The sequence below is a fragment of the Homo sapiens genome, chromosome 11 (genome assembly GCF_000001405.40).
Source record: "Homo sapiens chromosome 11, GRCh38.p14 Primary Assembly".
NCBI classification, from domain to species: Eukaryota; Metazoa; Chordata; class Mammalia; order Primates; family Hominidae; genus Homo; species Homo sapiens.
In genome coordinates, this window is record NC_000011.10 from 111760664 (window position 1) to 111787970 (window position 27307).

The 27307-nt window shown below is 43.2% G+C and overlaps 2 protein-coding genes across 45 annotated transcripts in view, besides 5 other annotated features; both read right to left on the reverse strand.

Annotated features, from left to right (window-relative positions):
* PPP2R1B (protein phosphatase 2 scaffold subunit Abeta) overlaps positions 1 to 5726 on the reverse strand; it is a 78390-nt gene extending 72664 nt beyond the window's left edge. For 13 of the 15 annotated variants that reach the window (XM_024448600.2, XM_047427193.1, XM_047427194.1 and 10 more), the window contains exons 1-4: positions 5585 to 5726; positions 4631 to 4721; positions 4142 to 4242; positions 156 to 388 (exon numbers count right to left, since the gene is read on the reverse strand). In XM_024448600.2, coding sequence (XP_024304368.1) covers positions 156 to 388; positions 4142 to 4242; positions 4631 to 4721; positions 5585 to 5698 — 539 coding nt within the window. In that variant the 5' untranslated portion in view covers positions 5699 to 5726. The remainder of the gene's footprint in view (positions 1 to 155; positions 389 to 4141; positions 4243 to 4630; positions 4722 to 5584) is intronic. The other 2 variants (NM_001177563.2, NM_181700.2) reach the window with 2 other exon arrangements.
* Positions 4752 to 5655: an enhancer, noted in NCBI's record as "OCT4-NANOG-H3K27ac hESC enhancer chr11:111636139-111637042 (GRCh37/hg19 assembly coordinates)". NCBI's record gives its function as "activates a minimal SCP1, AML or CMV promoter by ChIP-STARR-seq in naive H9 embryonic stem cells {active_cell/tissue: H9 hESC(naive)}" and the evidence as "EXISTENCE:reporter gene assay evidence [ECO:0000049][PMID:30033119]".
* Positions 4752 to 5721: a biological region, named in NCBI's record as "OCT4-NANOG-H3K27ac hESC enhancer GRCh37_chr11:111636139-111637042".
* Positions 5542 to 5721: an enhancer, noted in NCBI's record as "active region_5518". NCBI's record gives its function as "activates an Ori minimal core promoter by ATAC-STARR-seq in GM12878 lymphoblastoid cells {active_cell/tissue: GM12878}" and the evidence as "EXISTENCE:reporter gene assay evidence [ECO:0000049][PMID:35858748]".
* Positions 5742 to 5791: an enhancer, noted in NCBI's record as "active region_5519". NCBI's record gives its function as "activates an Ori minimal core promoter by ATAC-STARR-seq in GM12878 lymphoblastoid cells {active_cell/tissue: GM12878}" and the evidence as "EXISTENCE:reporter gene assay evidence [ECO:0000049][PMID:35858748]".
* The window catches only part of ALG9 (ALG9 alpha-1,2-mannosyltransferase), a 103557-nt gene continuing 83611 nt past the window's right edge, over positions 7362 to 27307 (reverse strand). For 19 of the 30 annotated variants that reach the window (NR_147984.2, NM_001352409.1, NM_001352418.1 and 16 more), the window contains one exon: positions 21532 to 25857. Coding sequence is in view for 22 of the 30 variants with exons in the window: in NM_001352409.1 (NP_001339338.1) it covers positions 25734 to 25857 (124 nt within the window). In the remaining 8 variants the exon portion in view is untranslated. Of the gene's footprint in view, positions 8477 to 8695; positions 10730 to 14323; positions 14451 to 15432; positions 15498 to 17512; positions 17708 to 17788; positions 18048 to 21531; positions 25858 to 27307 lie in introns of those variants that run through there. The other 11 variants (NM_001352417.1, NM_001441203.1, NM_001352416.1 and 8 more) reach the window with 6 other exon arrangements.
* Positions 16723 to 16882: a silencer, noted in NCBI's record as "silent region_3900". NCBI's record gives its function as "represses an Ori minimal core promoter by ATAC-STARR-seq in GM12878 lymphoblastoid cells {active_cell/tissue: GM12878}" and the evidence as "EXISTENCE:reporter gene assay evidence [ECO:0000049][PMID:35858748]".

A 27307-nucleotide genomic window follows, 5' to 3' on the forward strand; every position in this document is an offset into this window, starting at 1 on the left:
AAAGATGTCATAAATCCTACTATCCTAGTATCAGCCACTCATTGGTAACAAGGTACTATGTAAATTGTCAGCTACAAGTCCCCAGTAATCCCAAATAACTCATAGCTTACTACCTGATTTCTGCTTTAACAAGGCAAAAAAATACCATGGCTTACTGTCTGATTTCTGCTTTAACAGCATTTGATGCCCTGGGATAGCAAACGCTGAACAAACCACATGCAGATGTGCGAGAGGTGAACCAATCCCCACTTGCTAAGCGTTTCACCAGAGGTACAAAATAAGCTTCCAGAGCAACAGGAGTATGCTCCTGGGAGATCTGTCTCAGGGACTCCACAGCCTTGTCACGAACAACAGTCTCTTCCACAGTTGCCAGATTTTCCAAAGGAGGCTGAATGGATTAAAAAGGAAAACCAGAGAAGAAAACTTATTGAATCAGGTTAGAAACAGATAATCACCTTTTAAAGTGACTGAAGGGAGGTGGTACACGTAACCAGAATGTTAGCTGCATCATACCAAATGGTTACTTTCAGCTCACACAGTGATAACATATGGTGCGGCCAACCCAAAGACACGACTTCTGTAGAAAAGCCAAGATCTCGTGTCCCAGATGGCAATTCCCAGATGGTGTCTACAAATGACACAGTGTAAAAGACTTGACACAATATTAATATTACTGTGAGTTGAATCACTAGGTTTAAAAGATACATAGCCAAATTCAGACAGGATCATGTATATTTCCTCAAGAGTAAGTACAAAACTATGACCAATGTTAGGCACCACAAATACAGGATAACAGCTTGTCAGGTCACTGAGTCCACAGCCTTTTCAGTATCTTTCCACCATTCCCAGAGGTGCAAGCAACCCTTATCCACCATCTCCATCCCATCCTTTTATCCAACCTATAAAATGCTGAATGCAAAATTGCTTTTTTCAGAACACATTCAGCAACTTTCCATTAGCCATAGGGCAGAAAGGAGTTTCTGACAGAACAATCAAGTGAAAACTACAGAGACTGGCCAGGCACGGTGGCTCACACCTGTAATCCCAGCCGTCGGGAGGCCGAGGTGGGCAGATCACTTGAGGTCAGGAGCTCGAGACCAGCCTGGCCAACATGGTGGAACCCTGTCTCTACAAAAAATACAAAAATTAGCCAGACATGGTGGCACACGCCTGTAAACCCAGCTTACTCAGGAGGCTGAGGCATGAGAATCACTTGAACCCGGGAGGCAGAGGTTGCAGTGAGCCGAGATTGTGCCACTGTACTTGAGCCTGGGTGACAGAGTGAGGCTCTTGTCTCAAAAAAAAAAGGTAAAGTACAGAGATGGTAGGACACCTTGCTTACAGCTTTAGAAATAAAAGAAGCCAAATGGGGTGGATGGTCTGGATTAAGAGCAGTAACTGAATATGGCATGGCCTAGTAAAAAGTGTAAACAGGCTGGCTCTCTGAACCTCTGCCTTACTGAGTTTGCATGTAGTCCAGGTAGATTCTACACATGCCATGAGCTACAGATTTTAAAGCATAAAACCCACATATAGAACTAACCAAGAGTGAAACAGAAGCATAATGAGTTAAAGAAAAGAAGTGTGTCTAATAATATATTTTAAAAATTGTTTGATACACACAGGTAGACAGTATTCAGCTTTCCTAGAAGGTATTTCAGAAACTCATTGAAAAGATACTGTTTCTCACTTGCCAATGCATTTCATGATCTGTCCCCTGCCTACTGTAACCCCCTCTCGTGCAGTACCACTGGATAATAGCTATCATTACTACAGGATGAGGCCATGCTCCTGAGAATTGCTTATGAGTGGTCTCTTGATTTGAACTCTGCCTGGCCCTTGATGACCACTCTGCCTACCCAGCCTCAACACTTCACACTCCAGCAGTTCTTTTTTTTTTTTTTTTTTAAGAGACAGGGTCTTGCTCTGTTGCCCAGGCTGAAGTGCAGTGGCACAATCATGGCTCAGTGCGGCCTCAGACTCCTCGTCCTTCTGCCTCAGCGTCCCGAATAGCTAGGACTCAGACACATGACATCATGCCCAGCTATTTTTTTTTAAGTGTTGGGGTCTCACTATGTTGCCCAGGCTGATCTTGAACTCCTGGCCTCAAGCAATCCTCCTGCTGCTTTGGCCTCCCAAGGCAAGGATTACAGGTGTGAGCCACCACACCCAGCCACACTCCGGCAGTTTTGAACCCAGCCTGTTTCATGCTTCCAAGCCTCTGAAACTCATTTTTTCAATACATTATTATTGGTATATTCTAGCATTGAGGACACAGAAGAAACAAGGCAGACAAGGTTCCTCACTCTAGTGGCATTTACATTCTAATGGAGTAAGACAACAATCAATCAAGAAAATAAGTAGATGGTGATGAGTACTCTATAGAAAAAAGGAGTAGGATGATGTAGTAAGGGATGACTGTGAGGCTATTTTAAGTTGAGTGGTTGGGGAAAACCTCCCTGAGGAGATGCATTGAAGTTGATCCCTGAATGACAAGGAGCCAGCCACAGAAAGCTTGAAAGAGCTTTTCATTAGAGGGAAGACCTAGGGCAAAGGTCCTAAGGGAATAATGAGCTTGGTTAGTTCAAAAAACAGAAAGATGACCAATGTGAATGGAAGAGGTTATCAAGGCCTTTTGCAGTCTGTTCCCTGCCTACTGTCACCTCTTCTCATGCAGTACCACTGGGCATATGATAATCCTACAGAGGCGGGTCATAAAAAGCCTTGTAAGCTAAGGTACAGAATTTGGATTTTCTAAGAGCTATAGCAGAGAGTGAGCCATCTGCTGGGTGATGTGAACTGTAAGAGTCGGGTGAGAGGCAAGAGTGGAAAGCATTGCTAGGAAGCTACTACAGCAATCTAGAGGAAAGATGACAGTCTGGACTAGGCTGGTAATAGGAGGGATGGAAGAAAGTGGACTTATTTGAAATATACGTAGACTCTATAGGAATTACTAATGGATTAGATGTGTGGAACAAGGCACAGAGGATTCAAGAATACATTCTAGGTTTTGGCTTGTGCAAGTGGGAAGATAGTGATACCATTTACTGAAGTGGAACAACTAAATGAGAGGTGTATTTGGGGGATAAAGCTAAGTTTTGTTTTGGGTATGTTAAGTTTGAAATACCTGTTTGACATACAAGTAGAAAAAAGCATAGGCCTATATACATAGACAGAAAAAAAACTCTCTCTCTCTCTCTCTCTCTATATATATATATTCATACTTATCTATTAATCAATCTACCTCAGGAGTTCCATGGAAAAGTCAGAACTAGAGACAGAAATCACAAGAATCAGTATTACATACCCAGTATTCAAAGCTCTGACACATACACCCCTACCTTGTCCAACTGTTGAATTCCTGGTCATCCTTTAAAACCTAGTTCAGACATCATCTCCCAAGGTCTTCCCTGATCACCCGGAGTGAATCCCTTTCTCCCTTCTATTACGTGGGTATTTTGTGGGTACTTATATCTTTCCATTTACGACTGCACGGTAATTATTTGCTGACACATAAAGGCAGTGACCTCATTAGATTCATTTTGGTGGTCTTTTTTTTTTTTTAAGAGATGGGGGTCTCACTATGTTGCCCAGGCTGGATTCAAACTCCTGGGCTCAAGTGATCCTCCAGTCTCAGCCTCCTGAGTAGCTGGTACTACAGGCTTGTGCCACCAAGCCCCCTCACATTGGTCTTCTTCAACATTAACATTGTAAACTATGATGTGTCTGATAAAGTAGACTCTCAATAAATGTCAATTAAATTGAACTAAATTCATCAAACTCACAAAGTCAGAAGCAAAAGTTAAACTGACAAAGACAAAATGCTGCTAGGTGAGAATTAAAACTTCCACCATCGCGCGGGGGAACCATAAAAACAATCAAACCCTTTTTCTCCCTACATCTAAACTAATAAGTCTACAGACGCAGAAAAGGAGGACGAAGTTCTCTTATTTACAGAAAAAAAAAAAAGGAGTTGAGTGCAAAGTGCCTACAGTACTTATTCTCTCAATGACTAACATTATGACTATCTGCCCATAAAAAGATCTGCATAAAAAATGCTGCAGTGTGTCTATCACCAAACAATGTATCATTTATACTGCAAAAGTTGTAGAAGGAGGGTAGGCAGCTTATAAATACTCACCAGCAGACAGTGGGCAAAGTCAGGACCTCCCACTAGGCCAGTGAAATTTCCCAGCTGCTCAGCAAGAGCTAATAGTACCTCATCTTCATCATAAATTGTATCTGGAAGTGACAACAACAGGACTCATCAACATGGATAGCTCTCCCACAGCTGGACACTGACACAAAACTAGGAACAGATTCACTATGCGACCAGGAAGGTGACCCAGTCAAAATCCTAACAGCATTTTCTTTCTTCTCAACCGTCTTCCTGTATCTGCTTTGCACAACGAATTAGAAATTCATACTCCCGTATCAATTACTTTCAATAGCTAAATGGTTGATGTTTGAATATATCTAGCCACAACTAACAATATACTCTGTTCTGTTTCTTTTGCACAAAAAACACCTGGCTCATTTTAATGTGGGTAATAAACTCTAAAAAAGTCAGTGTTGAAAGCTACTGGAAAATGGAATGTCCCTACCTTTCTTTAAACAAAGATTCACATACCTGTAAGAAATGGCAACAATTCACTTCGGGTCCTTTCTACTCCAAGTGCTAGGGCAATTGTTGATAACTTCTTAATACTGTTGAGTCGGAGCTTCAGAAAAGAAAGTAGAAAGAAGAACAATGTAAAGAAACGGCTGAATTTAGATCAAAAGACAAAAGGTGCTAACAGGTGAAATTATGACACAGGGGTAAGAATGAAGATAACCTTTCATTTAGATTTTACTGTTAAGGAAGCTCATAAGGACTTCCAAAAAGAAGTGTAACTCGGCCTCACTAGCCGGCGGAGGATTTCCCAGGAGAAACACTCAGAAGGGACCGGAAGAGAAATGAAGGAAAGACAATACAACACCTAGGAAGTAAGATAATTTTAAAAAGAGAGCACTTTGGCAGTGGTGAAGCAGGTGAAACGGTTGAATACAACACCTGTGGTTTCAAAGAAAAGTTCCCACAGAGCGGATACACTACTCGTCCAGATTAATCGGCCATCCCACCCCCGCTTTCTACCCAACAAGCCGAGCCAGTTCCAAGCCGAGATGAAGGGATCCAGGGGCACTTCAAAGGGCTTCTGGGCATCCTGCGCCCCTCAGCCGCTCCAGCCCCGTCTCGGCCTGGCACCGCGCTTCTCCTGCTCCCTCGCCCAAGAGACGCGGCCACCTCACGGCCCGGATGGGGCGCCCAGGCGGGAAGCGGGTTCCCCGACAACCGCCCGGGAAGGGCAAGGCTCCGGGCGGACGCCTCAGGGGGTCCGAAGCAAGGTTACTAGAGAGGTACCCGGGAGGGTCGGGGCGTGTCACCACAGCCCCTCGCGGAGCATTCCCCGCCTCCCCTTCAAGTTTCTGCTACGAGTCCGACTCATTCAGTACCTCGGCCACCCCCACCGCGACGCAGGCCTTCCCCCTTCTCTACCACGCGACCAGCCGGTCTCGCCTCGGGTCCCCGGCCTCAGTCCAGTACCTGCACGTCTTCATTGCGGAGCTCGTCGATTAAAACCGCGATCGGGTATAGCGAATCATCTCCATCTCCACCCGCTGCTCCTGGGCCGGTCCCGAGCTCTGATGCGCCCGCCATGTTCTTTCTCCTCCTGCTGCTGGTCACCGCCTCCCGCCCCGCGCCCAGGCCCCGCCCCGCGCCCAGGCAGTAGGGACGAAGGCCGCCACGCTGGTTTAGCCGAAGTTGGGGAGCCGCGTTTCTGTCCCGATGATTAAGGCTCCCTTCTGACCCCCACTGCAGGAGTTGTAGGTCTGAACTCAAGAAGACGGGTGGGCTAAGAAAGCGAATGGAACCCCTGCGTCCTTTCCCCAGCCGAAAGAAACAGGGACAGGGATTCATCCAGCTCGTTGTAGTCTGAAGGAGCCAGGAACCTACCTGAATGATCTGCGCTGTGCCCTCTTAAGACTCAGGCGGACCAAAGAGAGTGCCCGAGGCCAGGAGGAAAAAGGCTTTAGCACCTCCCCTGACTTCTTCCTGGCCCTGAGCCACTGGATCTCCAGCCCTAATTTCTCCGCTCAGACTCAAACTTCCACAGAACCCCTCCACCTCTTCCCGCGGCTCTTTCTCCAGAATGGTATCTGGCTCCTGCTCCGTAAGACAAATAACGCGGGCGGTGAGAGAAAATGAACAGTGCTGTCCAAACTCCCCAGTCAATATTTTTTCCACGCAAGCTGTTAAAAACATGCTGCTCTCTTGTTTTTGTGTTTCTTTTCAGTTTGGTACTGGAATGGTGCCTTCTGTTGTATTTTCTTCCTCCCATTTTTTAGCTCTTTAGCATGCTAGAAGTACAACAATGAAGCAAAACTAGGACAAGCTTTAATCCTTCCAAATTGGGTGGGGTGGCTACTTTCTTGAGCAAGAAAACCCAAACTGGCCTCCCTAGACCTCCAAGAGTCCTCAGAGGCAGCAAGGGGAAGAGGTGGAGGTCTGGGAGCTCGTTCTTACAAACCTGAATGGAAAGTTTTCACTTACCCCTGTCAGGGTAGCACAGAATAATTAGAATGTTTTGTTTGTTTTAGACTGGAATTTAAGCAGCTTGGAGTGATAACTACATATGGTGATCACAAGCTCCGAAATGGTAATTCTATGTGCCTGATTAATAAAACTATAAATGCAGTGTAGGAGACAAACTTTTTTAAAACATGGGATTCTGAGGCCGAGGCGGGCGGATCACTTGAGGCCAGGAGTTCGAGACCAGCCTGGCCAACTTGGTGAAACCCTGTCTCCACTAAAAAATACAAAAATTAGCTGGGCTGGTGACGGGAGCCTGTAGTCCCAGCTACTCGGGAGGCTGACATGAGAATCGCTTGAGCCCGGGAGGCAGAGGTTGCAGTGAGCCAGGATCGCACCACTGTACTCCAATCTGGGCGGCAGAGTGAGACCCCGTCTCTAAAATAAATAAATAAATAAATAGCGTTCTTGGAAGTAAGCACAATAGAGCCTTTGAATGAATGAATGAAATAATGAATAAATAAATAAATAAATAAATAAATAAATAAATAAATAAATGGGGTTCTTGGAAGTAAGCACAATAGCTAGAGCCTTTGATAGTAATGAAAGTTTGGGAACCAGCAGACCTGAACAGTTTTTCTCAAATTATGTCTGCGAATGTATTCTCTAGGGTTTTAATTTTATTTTCATTTTCATATTTTTTAGATTTGTATAAGCATATTCTGAATTATTTGGGTGACCACCTTACAACCAAGTATTGCCACACAATTTCAGCACCCACATTTACATGTGTGTTTTAGTGCTGCTTTTATTGTTCTGGGATAATGAGAAAAGAACAGAGGTGGTTTTAAAATGACAATGATACTTTCATGCACAAAATGAAAGCCAAATGCATCATGAGATTGCACTATTTGGTAGTTGTAACAGAAAAATGGTGAGAAAATTAAGATATCAGGAGTCACTTGGTGGCATAGGCATGTTGAACACAAAAGAAGCTGAGCTATAGCAGGCAACACCATAGTAACAATACGACGGATGACAGTTTTAGCAAAATACATCATTTGTCACGTTAAATTACTATAATATTTTTAATTGAATAGTATTCATTTTGTGGTTTCATTTGTATTTAATTTGTAAATTTGTTGTGGTTTTTTTTTAGCTGTGTAAGAACTAGAAATAAAAGCACATTTTTCCTACTTTATATTCGTAAATTTAAATAACCACAGCATAATAAAAACAATTTAGCTAAACATGGTAACGCGTGCCTGTCTTCCCAGTTACTTGGGAGGCTGAGGTGGGAGGATCACTTGAGCCTAGGGGTTCATGACCATCCTAGACAACACAGCAAGACCCCCATCTCTAAAATAATAATAATAATGACTTAACTGAGAGTTTTCAGGATTTTAAAAAATTATTGTGTTGTGTGTGTGTGTGTGTGTGTTTAACAAACAGGGTCTTGCTGCGTTTCCCAGGCTGGAGTGCAGTGGCACAATCATAGCTCACTGTAACCTTAAACTCCTGGACTCAAGCAATCCTCCAGCCTCAGCCTCCTGAGTAGCTAGGACTATAGGCATGTGCCACCACATCCAGCTTCGTGTGTGTGTGTGCGTGTGTGTGTGTGTGTGTGTGTGTGTATGGAGACAGAGTCTCACCATGCTGCCCAGGCTAAAAATGGATTCATATATTTAATACTACCCAACTTGGAGAGACAGAGGGCTAAGAGGTTTTTTTAACTTAGTACTTTACCAGTTAGAAGATCAGAGGGGATTCCTGTAGGCATTGAGAGGAGGAATCTGTTTTCTTATACTTTATGTAAAAAGTCACCTGGGGCAGTGGTGCACATGATGGATCACTTGAGCTCACGGGTTCAAGACCAGCCATGGGCAGCATAGCAAAACCCCATCTCTAAAAAAAAAAAAAAAAAAACTTAGCAGGACGTGGTGGTGTGCACCTATAGTCCCAGCTACTCAGGAGGCTGAGGTGGGAGGATCACTTGAGCACATGAGGTTGAGGCTGCAGTGAGCTGAGGTCACACCACTGCGCTCCACCCTGGGTGAGAAAGCAAGACCCTGTCTCAAAAAAAAAAAAAAAAAAAGAGTCTTGGACAGGTGCAGTGGCTCACACCTGTAATCCCAGCACTTTGGGAGGCCGAGATAGGAGGATTGCTTAAGTCCAGGAGTTCAAGACCAGTCCTAGCAACATAGTGAGATCCCCATTCCTACAAATAAAACACAAAAATTAGCTGGGCCTGTAGTGCACGCCTAGTTTCAGCTACTCAGGAGGCTGAGGTGGGAGGATCACTTGAGCCTGGGAGGTTGAGGCTGCAGTGAGCTGTGACTGCCACTGCACTCCAGCCTAGGTGACAGAGTGAGACCCTGTCTCAAAAAAAAAAAAAATTAAAGTCTTCAGAAATAATAAAGGAAGCATGCACAGAGAGAAGCAGATTAAGTCAGTTCCACAGTACTGTTTTCGATATTAACTCAAGCTTAAGAGAGCCTTAATATGCTAACAAAAACTGGCACCTTGATGCTAAACTACTTTGTTTAAAATACAAATATGCTTTGCTTACCCAAGTACAATGAACTGGCGATTCAAGGAATAACTATGATTAAATATAAAATCACAAGCTGAGAAAATAGGCCCCAGAAAATTGCCTGGTTTGAGAGTCATCAATTTTGGACTTCAGTTCCCATCTCTGTCTCTGACTCATCATGACCTACCTCTCCCAGTGCCTCAATCCCACCTTCCACCCCCTAACACCCCATAAAATGGAGCTAACCACCTCTTGTTCCTGCTTGAGTTGCTGTGATGCTATGAGAATGAAACAGGTAATAAACATGGAGATGCTAATAAATCCTTCAATGAAGGTGATTAAAACAGACTGCAGCAGAAAAAAAGGCTAGTTCAAAACCTGAGCCAAATTCTGAGGCTGACCGTCTGAATCACTTAAGATGCCTGTTAAAAATGCAGATTTCTGGCCTCCAACCCAGACCTACTGAATTAGAGTCCTTAAGAATGGGGCCAGATGGTTTACAGTGTCCACTGGGTGATTCTAGTGTGCATTGATACTTGAAAACCATTGATTTTAAAAGTTCATCTGGAAAAGTAATTTCCATGTCAATAAACAAGCATCTGCTCAGGTAGAGTCTGAAAGTCTTTGGAGGCCACCCGTGTCCAGAAGAAATCAAATGACTTATCAATAAGCAATTCTGAATCTATAGGCTGTGGGTTTTGCCAGATTCAAAAGATGGTCCCACAGCCTGAGCAACAAAGCAAGACCCTGTCTCTACCAGAAAAAAAAAAGAAAAAGAAAGAAAATAGCAGAGTCCGCTGGCACACCTGTAGGCCCAGCTGCTTAGGAGGCTGAGGTGAGATGATCACTTGAGCCCAGGTGTTCGAGGCTACAGTGAGCTATGATCACATCACTACATTCCAGCCTGGGAATAGAGCCAGACCCTGTCTCTAAAAAATAAATAAATAAAATAAAAAGGATTGTCCCTCTTTTGCTGGACTTCTGGAATTTAGCCAAGCACTACCAATACAGTACTGTGGCACTGAGGTATTTCCATATCCTGTCTCTATTCCTCCCTCAGGTCTCCTCTCCACTTCCCACACACACCCCACAAGAAACTAATAACCAGGGAATGCCAGAGGCAACAGCTGAGATTAGGTTGAGGATTTAAGGCAGCCCTCAGGTAACAAGGTGACAGCCTCAGTACAAAAGCACTGAGTTCTGACACCCACATGCAGTTCACTCATCCAGTGTGGATCAAAGGAAGACTGAGTTAGATTTGCCCGGTTCCTATAAGACAAAGCATCAAGAATATAGGAAGTACAGGCAGATGGGATCGACGGCCATCAACTCTTGCTCACATTAACAGCTCTCAAAGTCACATCAGAAAACCATCAGTCATTGGCCGGGCGTGGTGGCTCATGCCTGTAATCCCAGCACTGTGGGAGGCCGAGGAGGGTGGATCACCTGAGGTCAGGAGTTTGAGGCCAGCCTGGCCAACATAGTGAAACCCTGTCTCTACTAAAAATGCAAAAATTAGCCAGGTGTGGTGGTGCATGCCTGTAATCCCAGATACTCAGGAGGCTGAGGCAGGAGAATCGCTTGAACCCAGGAGGCAGATGTTGTGGTGAGCCGAGATAGCGCCACTGGGAAAAAGAAAAGCATCAGTCATGAGGATCGAAGTGACATCACTGTCATCTTCTCTGGCCCCTTGCCTCAAGTTTACTAAACTTGCGTCTCCCTTACAGCCAAAGAGCTTTACAAATAGGTTCTCATTCAAATGCTGATCTGCTCCACAGTCACCCCACTGTGTGAGAAGGCCAAGTGTAGGAGACCTGTAAGTGTCTCAGGGCAGATTCAGACTGTTGTCCCCCTGAAAGGGACATCAAGGGAGTGGTGGATGACAGGGGCGGGAAACCTGAGGCACACGGAAGCATTTTCCAACTGTCTTCATTTGGCAAGATGACCCTGGTAAACTGATTCCGAGGGCTGTACTTAATTCATCGCAAAGTAGTGATTATCACCATAGCATTAATGATATTTTAAATTTGTATTTATGCAAAGTATGTCACCATTCTGTGGAACTCAAATATTTTCCCTTCAATTTCAGCTCAATATTTTAGCCTTCTTTTTCTTCTGTGTTTTCTTCATGGCAAATTTTTAATCTCATTTTTATGGGTGGGAATACCCCAACAAAGAGAAAGGGACTTTACCTGATGTCCCAATAAATCAGAAGCAGGTGCAGAACTCATAATCAGGGATTATTGCTACTCCCTCCTCCATCTCCTACCTCTGTTCTACAGCTCATCACCACATATAACAAAGGTATTGGATTTCCAAGGCAAACTTTGCTTGAATTCTTGGGAAGAGCAAATCAAAGAAATAGGACAGCCGGGCAAGGTGGTGAGGTGGCTCATGCCTGTAATCCCAGCACTTTGGGAAGTCCAGGTGGGCAGATCTCTGGAGCTCAGGAGTTTGAGACCAGCCTAGGCAACATGGTAAAACCTCATCTCTACAAAAAATACAAAAATTAGCCGGGCACAGAGGTGCCTGACTGTAGTACCAGTTATTTGGGAGGGTGAGGTGGGAGAATCGCTTGAGCCTGGGAGGCAGAGGCTGCAGTTAGCCATGATTGCACCACTGCACTCCAGCCTGGGCAATATAGCAAGAAAAAAGAAAAAGAAAGAGGACACTCAGTTACCTTTCACAATAGTACATACAATGGTTAGGAGAGTATACTCTGGAGTCAGGAAGATGTAGATTGAAATCCCACCTCTACCAATTACTAGCTGTGTGACTTTGGGCAAATAACCTATCCTCTCTGAATCTTGGTTTCTACATTTATACGGTGGGGCTGTTGAGCTTACCTCATGTGGTTGTTAAAAAGATTAAATAATTCATATAAAGTGCATAGGTAGTGCCTGGCAAGAGAAAGCACTCAAATACTATCCATTAACAGTTTTTATCTACTGAGGAAGTGGGAGCAAATAGGAAAATATTGCAATCAATTGAACTTTGGCAACAGAAAGGACCCACATGAAAGAATGAAAGAGGTACATGACTTACAGAGTCAGAATACCTGTTCCAGAAGATTTTTTTCATCGGTAAAATAGAGCTTTTACCTCTCAGACTTGTGAGGAGTGAGAGTCATGATGAAAGGTGCTTTGTTAGTGGAAAGCACCATGCAGATGTTAGAAGTTGTGTTATTTAGGCCGGGTGCGGTGGCTCACGCCTGTAATCTCAGCACTCTGGGAGGCCGAGGCAGGCGGATCACGAGGTCAGGAGATCGAGACCATCCTGGCTAACATAGTGAAACTCCCTCTCTACTTAAAAAAAAAAAAATACAGAAGTTGTATTATTTATTACAAAGGGCTCACTGAATCTGATGCCCATGCCAAACACAAGAGAGTACATCTGGAGACTATGTTCAAGGTGTACAGGCCCCAGTTCTCTAAGAACAGCAGTCAGGATTAGTATCTCCTTTAGCCACAATGGTAGATTTTTTTTTTGTTTCCTGAGACTGAGTCTTGCTTTGTTGCCCAGGCTGTAGTACAATGGGGCAATCTCAGCTCACTGCAACTTCCACCTCCCGGGTCCAAGTGATTCTTCTGCCTCAGCCTCCCAAGTAGCTGGGACTACAGGCATGTGCCACCATGCCTGGCTAATTTTTGTATTTTTAGTAGAGACGGGGTTTCACCATGTTCGCCAGGCTGCTCTCAAACTCCTGAACTCAGGTGATTCGCCTGCCTTCGCCTCCCAAAGTGCTGGGATTATGGGCGTCACAAGGGTAGATTTAAGCTACGGAAAACCTGAAGATAAACAGGCACAGTGACCTTTCTCAAAAGCCTTAGGCCTTTGAGTCCTATTAAAGGGCTCCAGTGTTCTCAGGCCAGAACCCCCATTATCTTGCCAGGGGCCTATATACCACTCGGAAAAAAATGTTTTGTTATGGTGTTAAGTGAAAAAGCATAGCTCCTAAATGGCTAATACGAAAATCATCTTTTGTTTTTGCTTTTTTTTTTTTTTGAGACAGGGTCTCATTCTGTTACCCAGTCTGGAGTGCAGTAGCATGATCACGGCTCGCTGCAGCCTCGATCTCCTGGGCTCAGGTGATCCTCCCACCTTAGCCTCCCAAGTAGTTGGGATGACAAGTGTATGTCACCATGCCTGGCTAATTTTTGTATTTTTTTTGTAGAGACAGGGTTTGGCCACATTGCCCAGGCTGGTCTTAAACTCCTGGGCTTGTCAAGCAATCAGCCCATCTCGGCCTCCCAAAGTGCTGGGATTACAGGCATGAGCCACCATACCAAGCCATATCTTATTAAAAAAAAAAAAAAAAAAAAAAAAGCAGCACGGAGGCCGGGCGCCATGGCTCATTCCAGCACTCTAGGAGGCCGAGGCAGGCAGATCACCTAAGGTCGGGAGTTTGAGACCAGCCTGACCAACATGAAGAAACCCCATCTCTACTAAAAATATGAAATTAGCCAGGCGTGGTGGCGCATGCCTGTAATCCCAGCTACTTGGGAGGCTGAGGCAGGAGAATTGCTTGAACCCAGGAGGCACAGATTGCGGTGAGCCGAGATTGCACCATTGCACTCCAGCCTGGGCAACAAGAGTGAAACTCCGTCTCCAAAAAACAAAACAAAACAAACAAAAAGGCAAGGGCCAGAATAGTGTACATAGTATCTTACCATTTGTGTAAAATAGAATGCACACACGTGCTTGTATATGTACCAAAAAACTCTAGAAGGACACATGTGATGAATAACGTTTGGTTGTTTATGGCAAGGTAACAGGGTGCCTGGGGAACAGAGATGGAAGGGAATTTTTTCAGTGTGCAGCATATCCATTTGTACTTTGTCTAAACTCCAGATTTTACTTAAATTTCACCCATTTTTCCACTAATATCCTTTTTCTATTGCAGGACTCACTCCAGAATACCACAATGCATTTAGGCTTTTTGAATTTTGAACCATGAAGATTATTACCTATTGAAACAAGCAAACCTTTTAGTTCTTGGTTTACCATACTACAGACTGTGCTCTCTGCCTGGCCCTGGCTGTCTTTCCTGTGGCATCCATAGATGTGTATGATAAGTAACTCCTGCCCAGCTATTCCCTGTGTATCTCTGCTATATCCACAGGGTAGAGTCCAGATTTCTTTATTGTCTCTCATTTTTGTAGGCCTCTTATCACCATGTCGTTTTTTAAAAGAAAAAAAATAAAGAGACAGGGTCTCACCATGTTGCCCAGGTTGGTCTTGAACTCCTGGGCTCAGGCAGTCCTCTCCACTCAGCCTCTCAAAGTGCTGGGATTACAGGCATGAGCCACCACGCCCGGCCACTTATCATCATGTCTTGTACTAGACCTGGCCAACATAAATAGTAGATTTCAGCAGCTAGGCACACTGCCCCCAGGATCCAACTAGACAGAGGTTTGATTTAGCAACAGCAGGGCCAACTTAAAATATTCCTGTTCCCCTGAAAGCTTTTGCCCTTGGTCTCCCCTGAAGATGGTATTCTTCCCCACTTCCTTTTCTGATCTACTCAGCAGAACTGGTAGGAGAAAAGTCACAGGAGTAAGAAGGGACCAGTGCCAAGATCCCCTGGACACGAAAGTCACATTTCGGCAGAAATCCAGCTGGGACTGTAATCAGAAACTGGAATTTCCACTAACTTCTAGGATTTCAGGAAATCAACTCCCTCTCTGATTTAGCTATGTGGTTAAAATTAGCTGGAGGCCCCCAGTGTTCTAGAAAAGCCCCTACAAACACTTCATGTACCAGCTGCATACTGTTCTACTAGGACACTCTCCAGGCTGTGGTTACTGGAAGTGGACTAAGAAGGTGATAAAAAACTGAAACAAGTGCCTGTAGTCCCAGCTACTCAGGAGGCTGAGGCGGGAGGATCACTTAAGCCCGGGAGTTTGAGGCCAGCCTGGGCAACATAGTGAGACCCCATCTCTAAATAAATAAATAACTTATTTTTCATAAAGTGAAACAACTTTGACTACATCCTGTTCTCATCTCTGCCTACTGACTCCGTCTAGGTTCCCCCAACATATCATCCAAAAAAGACTGTAGACTTCAAAGAGGTTATGAAATAGGGACTATAAGTCACGGTTAAAAGAGCGGCTCAGGCGTCAGACTGCTTGGGTTTGAATTGCAGGTCTACCATTTTCTACCTAGGTGATCTTGGGCAAGACACTTAATAATATCTCCAAGCATCAGTTTCCCCATCTATAAAAGGAGGTTAATAATAGTTATTGACTTCATAAGGTTGTTGTGACGACTATGTGAGAAAAAAGCAACTTAAAGCATTCCTGACGTAAGTGGGGCGTGGTGCAGACACCTGCATTTCCCAGCCATCCAGGAGCCTAGGTGGGAGGATCACTTGGCCCAGAAGTTTGAGGCTCACTGCAAAATAAATAAATAAATAACAAAAAATAAATAAAAATAAAAATCTTGACATATAGTAAAGTTTAATATGTTAGCTATTATTCATGATTCCTCCACAGAGCAAATCTGACAATCTAGAGGGTGTATTAAAAAAACAAAAACCAAGGCTGGACATAGTGGTTCACGCCTATAATCCCAGCACTTTGGGAGGCTGAGGCGGGCAGATCACCAGAGGTCAGGAGTTTGAGACCAGCCTGGCCAACATGGTGAAACACCATCTCCACTAAAAATACAAAAGTTAGCCAGGCGTGGTGGCGTACCTGTAATCCCAGCTACTCAGGAGGCTGAGGCAGGAGAATCGCTTGAACCCAGGAGGTGGAGCTTGCAGTGAGACCAGATCATGCTACCGCACTCCAACCTGGGCAACAGAGCGAGACTCTATCTCAAAAAACAAAAACAAAACAAAACAAAAACCAAACCAACAAACAAAATACCCTCCTAAACCTAAAACCAGTACAGTCCCACATATTTCTAAGATTGAGCTCAAAGGAGGGTATCAGGAGTTAACAATCATGAAGAATAGAATCCCCTTCTATATCTGGCAGAGCTGACCTTGTTCGTTCCTCAAGGCCCAAATCTGGTCTAGGTGGTTACCCTACACTTTCAAAATGCAAATTCTACTTCCTTCTGTAAATGTGTGCTTTTCAACCCATGGCCTAGGCATGGGGAGTAAAGGTATTCTAAGGCCTTTCACTTTACTGGGCTCAGGCCCTGCTAAATGCTTCTACTTTCCCTTGAGTTACTGTGCCATGGATAATGAATTAGCATCTGAAGGACAGAACCTTGGACTTTGAAAAATCTTTTGAGTTGCTTTTGGCACTATCAATAAATTACCAGAGGTAAAGTTAGGACTTTGTATGTGATGTGGTTTGCTCATATTTGGAACCCTGAAAATGGGCAGATGGCTGGTAATTGCCACTAAGAGTAGCTGCTTCCTCCTCCCAACTAAACACATTTTATGTTACCTATGAACACCATCATAGTCATGCCAAACAGAACTGAAATTAGCTGAGAATTGACTTAAGAATCCTCGACCAGTAGGGAGTCACTGCTGTGATGGACAATTCACCCCTTGGTTAGTTACGGACATAATTTTCTCCAGGAAATTTTTGCAATTATAGCAATACAAGAGTGCAATGCAGAAATACAGATTCTAAAGAAATGCAATGAAGATATTTCAACTTACACTGGAATTACATCAAAAACTGACATGAACTAAATTGCTGGAGGGAAAGGAGGGCTGAGATTTTAGTGAGAATAGGATGCCCTCTGCTGGACATTAGGGAAGACTTATGACAGCATGGCAGACAAGGTTGCCTTAAGCTGTCAGAGACAGTGATACTTGGGAGTAAAACAAAAACAAAACAAGAAAACTTTGGCAATAAATTTACACTTTGGTGCTGTTTTCTAGAATATTCCCAGTAATCACAGACTATGAGAACACAAATATAAAAAAAAAATGCAAGGAAAGGGGTGAGTTTTAAAGAATCCATAACATTCTTTCATACATGTAGCACTGAAAAAACAGCCTTCTTTTCTACATACCTCCACAAATATTTCACTGGCAAGGAAAAAATGGGAGCACATTATAGGAAATACCAGGGAGGCTTAGAGACACAGTAACAGGGAGACAAGAAAGAGGTGAGACCAACTCCTGAATGGTACATGGTATCTTGTTGTTGGTTGAGTGAACACATTTCACGTCATTTCTCCCCAAATGAGATTAACCTTTGCTCTCGTGTCTGAGGGCAGTGGCAGCAGCTCAAGAGAAGCTCTCTCTGCAAAGACCAGAAGCAGACTAACAAAGGTAAAATAGGGTCTTTACTGTGCTTCTGTCAAATAAACAGAGCTACTTATATTTTAAAGCCAAACAAAGCAGGCTTCCCCAGTGCGTTGAGTAGAAGGGCTTAATATTCACACCTTCTTTTTTTTTTACACCCATTGTTCTACTCAAGGCAGCCATAGGTCCTTACCTGAGCAGGCCAAGTAGTGTCAAGCAATAAGGTTGAATCTGAAGGCCAGGCAGTATTCCTGAAGGGCAAGTCGGCCTGCTCAAGCCTCTTCTACCACCTGATCAATCATTCAATCAAATGACACTGAATAGGTCTGCAATTGCCAAAATTATAGTCATTCATTCTTTTTTTCCAGATGAGTTGTCATTCAGTGTACTGAGATGAGAGGATCAATGGGAAGAGAACTACAGTTAATTATTAACATCCATTAGCGTACTTCAGTATCATATTAGTTAATTGTTTCCCAGAAAGCAGGGCCCAGAGGGAATGGGAGAGAGGGCAGGTAAGGTTTGATGGGCTGGAGTAGACAGAGAAATAGGTCTGTGGTGGGGAAGAGGCCTAGATGAAGGCCTGGGTAACCAGGAGTCACAATTAGAAAAGGACACCAAATATGTTGCCTGTTTAATTACCTTTGATTTTTTGGTGTGATTGTTAGTCTCTCAGTCTTTATCCAGAGCAGTGGTGTTCAACTCTAGCTACCTGTTAGCTAGATCACCTGGAGAGTTTAAAAAAAAACATAATGGATGCCTGGGCCCACCCTCGACCACAAACTCAGAATTCCTGGGTGGTCAACCAGATAGTGGCAATTTTCTTTTCTTTTCTTTTTTTTTTTTTTTGAGACAGAGTTTCGCTCTTGTTGCCCAGGCTGGAGTGCAAGGATGCTACCTTGGTTCGCCGCAACCTCCGCCTCCCAGATTCAAGCGATTCTCCTGCCTCAGCCTACTGAGTAGCTGGGATTACAGGCATGCGCCACCACGCCCGACTAATTTTGTATTTTTAGTAGAGACAGGGTTTCTCCATGTTGGTCAGGCTGGTCTCGAACTCCCGACCTCAGGTGATCCGCCCACCACAGCCTCCCAAAGTGTTGGGATTACAGGTGTGAGCCACCGCGGCCGGCCAATAGTGGCAAATTTTTTAATGATCCCCAGATTCTGTCTCGTGTAGCTCCATTGGAGAACTGCTGCTTTACAGGTCACAGCTTCTTCAGCAGTGGGTACCAGGCTGTTGAAGCAGCTAACCAATCAACCAAAAACGCACGCCCTTCTCATTTGGCAACTTGCAATTCCCGAGTTAAGATGATCAGTCAAAGGCCAAGGGCACCACTTGTCAAATACAGTTTGTGCGAGAGTGAAGGTCAAGAGAGCTCTTGTAAGGCGAGTATGCCTGAAATCCATGGCTGAAGGTCTGCAAAAAACCCTTGTCAGAGGAAGTTTGTCACAAATCACCCAATCTTTTGGCTGTTGGGACCACCAAGAAGTTGCCTCATTTATATACTTTTCTTTCTTTTAATTATATATGTATATTTTTACATATAGAGGCGGGGTGGGGTCAAGCTTTATTGCCCAGGCTGATTTCAAACTCCTGGACTCAAACGATCCTCCCACCTCAGCCTCCCAAAGTGTTGGGATTACAGGTGTGAGCCCCCTCATCCAGCCAACTTACATACTTTCATCTCTAGGCATGTAATGACAGAACAAGCCCAGAAACCAGAGGCAAAACCAAAAACAAACAAAAAGCCCTACCACCTAAAGTATTTTATGAGAATTCACTGAAAAAAAGGGAAAAAAAAGCTCATACTCAGGTAAAATGTTATTTAAACCCAATTGTTAATTTTAACAGACTATTTATTCTACCAACCTACAACTGGAAATTCCCAGTCTTTCCTTGTCACTACAATTCCATAATCTCACATCCCTAATCTAAATTTCCTACATTATATTTCTCACGTGTTGGTTATCATTTGTTTAAATGTCAGGTCTATGCTGAATCCACAGCTGAAGAGAGCCAAAACAGCTTTCAGTTTTAAAATATCCCTTGCTACTTAATATTATTCAATCTGATGTATGGCTACGGTCATCTTGCAGCCAGACTTCCTTTTCCTAGCAGGACATGTAGCTGGTAGGGCCCGATCACCTCCTCACACCTGGAGGAGAGGCTTTCTGACCCAAACTTGTTCAGAAGGCCTCCTGGGCTAGGTCCGACCCTCTAAAAGCAAGTCACAATAGGAATATTCAATAAAGGTACCCTTTCTCTCTTTTTAGAAGCTACCCTTCTAAAATGCTTTTGTAAAGAAGCACTTGTATTTCAGGAGAATTGGCGAAATATAAACATTCATATCTTCCAAATTGCCCTTTTTGAGTACTACAGGCAGGATTTATAATTTGCCGTTTTTTTTTTTGTTTTGTTTTTTGTTTTTTTTGAGACAGAGTCTTGCTCCGTCACCCAGGTTAGAGTGCAGTGGCGTGATCTTGGCTCACTGCAACCTCCACCTCCTGGGTTCAAGCGATTCTCATGTCTCAGCCTCCCAAGTAGCTGGGATTACAGGCACCCACCATCATGCCCAGCTAATTTTTGTATTTTTGTAGAGATGGGGGTTTCACCGTGTAGGCCAGGCTGGTCTCGAACTCTTGACCTCAAGTGATCTGCCCGCCTCAGCCTCCCAAAGTGTTGGAATTACAAGCATGAGCCACCATGTCCGGCCAACTTGCCATATTTTCTATGGTCTAATCCATGCCAAGTTGAGAGCAACAGTTTGTACATTAGTCCCAGGTCTCTTTTTGCTTTTCTTTCTTCATTGTCAATAAAAATATACAGTACCAAAATGTTCAGGGAACCACGCTGAGCACCGGGAATACATAGCAGTGTGATGTGGTCTTTGCCCCTCATATGCCAACAATGGCCTTGCGAGACAGGGTCGCATGGTTTATATGTTACGGTTCTATGCCATTATTAAGGACACTGGGTAATCAAGAAGGCTCAGAAAAGAATGTAATCAAAGAGTCTGAAGTCTAGAAAGCCTTCTTAGAAAAAGGAGACTCAGCCCTAAAAGTAACAGTAACAAATAGGGAGAAAGATGACATTCTAGACAAGGGAAAATAAATTAAAGTTGTGGACTTCTCCTTCCTGGAATTACACTAATAAAAGCATCCTTTCTTCAAACAATTTGGGAGAAATAAATCAAACCAAGTTAAGGGCATCTGGGGTCCTATAGGAAGAATAATAATAACCAACGGCACAACACCAGATGGCTGCTAGAAGTTATAGGGTATAAAGTCCATGGCATAACAAGGACATTAGGAATTCATTTACAAAAAAAAATTTATTCCAGCTGGGTGCAGTGGTGCATGCCTGTAGTCCTAGCTACTTAAGAGGTTGAGGCAGGAGGACTGTTTGTTGTTTAAGGCCAGCCTGAACAATGTAACACATGCCATTTCTAAAATATAAAAATTAAAAAAAATTTATTCCTTCTGACAACCCCAACAAAGGGGGAAATTACCTAAGTGTTAGATATAACTGGATTAGGATTTCTAAGAAAATTAGACTCTCACAGTCCAGTGATTCTCATTCCAAAAACTTAAGATGGATCCAGGACTTCATCTCTTTTAGGTACAATGTTCATGTATTGAGTAATTCCTTTTAATTTTTATTCATTTTTTATTATTTTTTTTTTAGATGGAGTCTCACTCTTGTTGCCCAGGCTGGAGTGGAATGGTGCAATCTTGGCTCACTGCAACCTCCACCTCCCAGGTTCAAGTGATTCTCCTGCCTCAGCCTCCCAAGTAGCTGGGATTACAGGCATGCGCCACTACGCCCAGCTATTTTGTATTTTTAGTAGAGACGTGGTTTCACCATGTTGGTCAGGCTGGTCTCGAACTCCTGACCTCAAATGATCCACCCGTCTCGGCATCCCACAGTGCTGTGATAACAGGCGTGAGCCACTACGCCTGGCCCATATATTAATTCCTACTGTGCGTGGTTTTAACATAGTTAAAATAAAACTAATCCTCACTGGGTTTCCCAAAGTCTTCTTCTAAAGTTTTCAGAATAAACATTCTGGGATATTTGGCCTGTAGAAGGCAGGTCTCCACACTGAGGAATAGGGCTGGAGTCAGGGAGAAAGGACTTGAGCTCCTTCAGTTTCCAATTTCCAAGAAAGATTTAAAAGCAAAAGAGAAAATGTCACATTAAGAAAAAGAAAATCAAACTGCTACAATTTATTTAACTCTTTCTTTCACAGGAAATATAAGTATGTAATGTAAACACCGACACGTGAAATAAAGTACAAGGATCAGGAAGACAAGTGAATTGGACAATACTCTTGCTTTAACACTTTACTGCTTCCTGATTTCATTTGCAGCATGAATCACCTGGTTATACAGACTGGCAGAAGGCAACATTCAGATTTACAGATACACCAGAAAGCCTCTGAAATCCAACGATGCCATACGGAAGTCTGATCTTTCTGTTGCAAAAAAAATTAAAGCTGGGCACATGTCCATTTATCCATTTACCCAAGGCATTTAATGTAGGAGCATAAGAATGCACTGATTAACACGTGAGCTTTAATATGCTTGTGGAGGCCAAGATTAAATTGTACCTCTTCTCCCTCTTCAGAGAAAATAAAATTAACCAAATTAAAAGCAGAGCTGCCTGATACTAGCCAGAAGACTACATAATCACAGTGAATTCTTATTTCAATAAATCCCAGGAAATGCAAAACACAATAAATGATTGCCACTGGAGCTTTGCCCAAATGGTCACCGTAGACCTCATGCTGCAGAATCATATCAGGTTTTCAAGGTTCTTTCCTAGAACTCCAAAGTTGGAAAAATGACCCAGATAAATGATTGGGATAAAGACCCATCATGATTTAAAACAAAGGGTCTATTTCCAAACTTGAATTCGGTAATAAAGAGTATGGGCTGCAATTTTCTGTGATTATCTCAAAAAATTAAAATAACCTGTCTTCTTTCTTATCAGATGACACCTACCAGGTAGGAGGTAAATTTTGGTAGCAGATGCCTACCGTGCAGACTGGTTCAGTAATGGTACTCAGCATCACAAGATTTGGGGATTCAGATAAGGCTGCTTTAGAGCTAGAAATCAGAGAACCATGCATTTGCCAAGTATACCTACTCCCTCACTCACCCCATGATCAAAGGCTATTAAAAATTATCTGGGCCGGGTGCGGTGGCTCATGCCTGTAATCCTAGCACTTTAGGAGGCCGAGGCGGGATGATTACAAGGTCAGGAGTTTAAGACCAGCCTGGCCAACATGGTAAAACCCCACCTCTACTAAAAATACAAAAATTAGCTGAGTGCGGTGGTGGTGTGTGCCTGTAATCCCAGCTACTCAGGAGGCTGAAGCAGGAGAATTGCTTGAACCCGGGAGACAGAGGTTGCAGTGAGCTGAGGTCGTGCCATTGTGTTCCAACCTGGGCGACAGAGCAAGACTCTGTCTCGGGGAAAAAAAATAATAATCTGTAGTCCCACATCCCTCTATACTCCACAATCTATGGAGAAATAAGTATCTTGCATGCTTCCTCCTTTTGGCAAGCAGAACAGTCAGTGCAGGCTGAACACTGCTTTTTTGAGGGAGAACTGCTACTCTGAGCAGGTGTGTTGAAACTGTTTTTCCCAGGCAAAGCTATCCTTCCTATACTAAAAAGTGATGGAGATTTTTTAAAATGTGTTTATAAAATATCACATGAAAACACCTTCACAACAAAAAACATTCATTTCTATATTCCTTACCTATAACATTTGGCACAGCGTTCTGCCATGTATTGTGCTCTCACTAAAGACATACATAGAACAGAGAGATCCAAAATCAGGTTTTAAAAGTGATAGGAACTGATATTTCCAAGGAATCCCTGCATCAGTCCTGGCCTTTCTTTGCGCTATATTATAATTAAGGTTTTGTTTTTTTAAAAAAAAAAAAAAACAAGATGACAAAACAGATAAAACAGCATTATACTACTTTGATTAGAAAAAAGCCATTCATCACAGATGGACCTCCATTCCTGGATTCTTATTTACCTCTGGGAAACATAGAGGGCCTTAGCTACTGTGAAGAACAGCACATTATTACTGCAAGTAAGGCAAATGTTTCACTTAAAATTCTCTGTCCTGTAGTCAGATCATATGTGCTAGTTTTACACTGGAAAATAGTAATCAAGAATTGAGAATTAAATGCCAGAGATCTTTCAAGCAAGGGGGAGCCCAGTCTATCCTCACACACTCCCCAGTTATTGTTCTGTACTGTCTAGACCTATTACCTCTCCAGCGCTTCAACTCCGTCTCTGATATTCCTGCAGAGGAGATCTCAAAGAGGAGCTTTTTAATATTGTAACTAGCCATTTCTTCTGTTATCACTTCTTTTCTTCTCTCTTGGCACCAGTTCCTATTAGAATGCCCTTCTCTTTGAAAATGAAAGATGGGGCTGGGTGCGGTGGCTCACGCCTGTAATACCAGCACTTTGGGAGGCTGAGGCGGGTGGATGACCTGAGGTCAGGAGTCCAAGACCAGCCTGGCCAACATGGTGAAACTCCAACTCTACTAAAAATACATAAATTAGCTGGGCATGATGGCGCATGCCTGTAATCCCAGCTACTCGGGTGGCTGAGGCATGAGAATTGCTTCAACCTGGGAGGCAGAGGTTGCAGCGAGCCGAGATCGCGCCACTGCACTCCAGCATGGGCGACAGAATGAGACTCTGTCTCAAAAAAAAAAAGAAAAATGAAAGATGGAACTTCTGAAAAATAGATTCATCCTATTTGCAGATATTCAGATCAGTTACCCTTAGGGAAATAAGGCACCTATAATGTGACCCCAGATTGACTACAGGAATAGTACTGATATTTGGATCCTGTGTGGCTGCAAAAGAACATGACTTCCAAACAGAAGCACTACTTTCCTGCCACAGGTCAGGCTGCATCACACAGCACTGCTGTGCTGGTCTAACACACAGGCAGACTGGAGGCTCCAAAGAACTCAAATACAGACACAATTCTTCCTTAAAATAGAAAGTTACAATATCAGTTAGGTCTCTGGTTAACCTCATCAGTCCTTTCAAGTAATGTTTTCATGGTTGAGTGAGGAATATGGAGGAGCAATAGATGAGAGTAAGGAAACCTGGGTTCCAGTCCCAGCTCTATTACTTACTGGCTGTGTGACCTTAGGCAACTAACTATCTTTACCTCCCCTCACTCCCCACCCGCAGCCTGTTTCCTTATCTGTAAAATGGGGATAAAAATCACCTGCCTTGTCTACCACATGTTGTGACTGTGAGGATCAAACGAGATGCTGTGAAAGTGCCTTGTAAACTGAAGTACTGACTGTAAAGGCTTTTAAAGTAATAGTATACACTTATCACATTTTAATTAGGTCCTTATCATTGCCTATTTGACTAGAAGTGCCCCATGCAGGATGTGCCTCACAACAGACAGAACTAAAAAATAGGTGCTATAAATATACACTGATCCTTTTCACTGGGGGTGGTTAAAAAAAAAGGAAAATTCTTAATTTCCTCAGCAATGGCCTCAGATTACATTACTTAAAAATGTGATGTCATCCAAATGTATCAATTGATAGAATTTTCTCCAAATATGTCCTATACAGTTGTAGTTTTGTCTGTTGATATCTTCACATGGAGGAGTCTAGAATTCAAAAAATAGCATGCTAAAACTGAACAAAAAAGCAATACAACCTTATAGTTACAGTTGGTTGTAAAGGAAATGAAAATTAGAGGCATCATTATAATAAAATTAGGTCACAGTTCCTCAAATGGTCACCTTTTTCCTGAGATAGCTCCAGGACAGGGTCCTAGTCCTGTGAAGTGCTTTAAAGAAGCTTAGTCTTGCTGGAGGTGAAAAGGACATGTGGGTTGGCAACTAGGCTGTGTTCATTTTCAGCATGAGGATTTCAATAAGAAGGTCTGCTAGGAGCTGCCAAACAGCTTTGGTGGAGAAGCCCATATGGCCTAAGAGAGGCTTGCTAGTTCTCAGATGCCAGGCCAGAGTGTGGAGAACAGCTTATCACAGCCATCCAGTACCAGGATTTTCAATTCTTCCTGTAAGTTGGTTCTGCTCTTCTCCGGTCTAGTAAATAATTGAACAGAGGAAAAACAATGAGATGTGGAGCAATATATCTATCTGTGCTTTAGGGCCTTTCTCTGCCTAGCTGCAAAAAGTTTACATGCAGAACAGAGACACACACAGGGAGCAAATGTGACTTTGATTAGACTTTGAAATAGACTTTGACTAGCCCAGAGCACCCAGATTCCAGTATTCATGTCAGAAGACCTTTATTACAAATGTTACAGGCGATGACTTGCAGGGAGTCAGGTCACTGGAATCAATAGTTAACAAGATGGTTGTCCTTTGGGGCCACAGGTGTGTTGCTAACCTCCACTTTTCTTCCTGATTTGCTTTGCTTTCCGGGGTTTGAGGATGGTGTAGTTTACGTACACTGTATACTGATCTGACAGGAAGGGGACATAGAATGCCCGCAGCAGCTTTGAAGATCTGAAAAACAAGGGATAAAAAAAAGAATTTTATCACTTGGGAGAATTTACTAATGGTACTAAATGTGATTAAAATAAATAAACTAATCTGTAGTAAGGATTATATTTTATTCAAGTGGCACAGAAAAGCCTATTATTTCGGTACTAGATCACGATAAAAGACTTAATCAAGGCCGAGTACCTTGTCACCTAAACGAAAATTTATTATTGTCCCTAATAAGCCACAGTATATCCTTCAGAATAGCTCTAGGTCTTCATTTTGCATTAGAATGTGCCATAGAAAAATTCCAGGTCAATCAAAGGACTTCTATTGCTGAAATGAATTCTTAACACCAAAATGGTTTCTGCATCTAAGAAACTGTAGAGATGCCAAGTACTCAAATGACCTGGACTCCAGCTCTAAGTTTTCCTGGAAAGGGCAAGAAAACTACATCCTGGGTACCTGTGCATAGTGTTCCAGTATTGTCTAAGTCAAGGAAAGAGTCTACACACAAGTTCATGTTGTGACAACATGTCCCTAGTAAATTATAATATATCTACTTATTACTGAAATATAAGAACTGAAAACCTAAATTTCTCATGAATTTCTGAAGAATGTGAAAAGTGCTTATACTTTTAAATATATTATCGGCCGGGTGCACTGGCTCACGCCTGTAATTCCAGCACTTTTGGAGGCCGAGGCAGGCAGATCATTTGAGGTCAGGAGTTCGAGACCAGCCAGACCAACATGGTGAAACTCTGTCTCTATTAAAAATACAAAAAAATTAGCCAGGCATGGTGGTGCATGCCTGTAATCCCAGCTACTTGGGAGGCTGAGACAGGAGAATTGCTTGAACCCGGGAGGTGGAAGTTGCAGTGAACCAAGATCATGCCTCTGCACTCCAGCATGGGTGACAGAGCGAGACCCTATCTCAATAAAAATAAATTTTTTAAAAATTATTTTATTTCTTTTTTTGAGACGGAGTCTTGCTCTGTCACCCAGGCTGGAGTGCCGTGGTGCGATCTCAGCTCACTGCAAGCTCTGCCTCCCGGGTTCACGCCATTCTCCTGCCTCAGCCTCCTGAGTAGCTGGGATTACAGGCACCCACCACCACGACCGGCTAATTTTTTTGTATTTTTTAGTAGAGACGGGGTTTCACCGTGTTAGCCAGGGTGGTCTTGATCTCCTGACCTCGTGATCCGCCTGCCTCAGCCTCCCAAAGTGTTGGGATTACAGGCGTGAGCCACCGCACCTGGCAAAAAATAAATTAAAAAAATAAAAAATAAAAATAAATATATGATTTAATCCATTTGATAATCCTGTGAGGAAGTGGCATTATTATCCCTATTTTATAAAAGGGAAATTAAGGCTTCAACTTGCTCAGGGTTACACAGTAAGTGACAGAGGCCTCATTCAAATCCAGGTTTGATTCCAGAGTCTGTACTCTTAACCATTATGGTTTATCATGCAT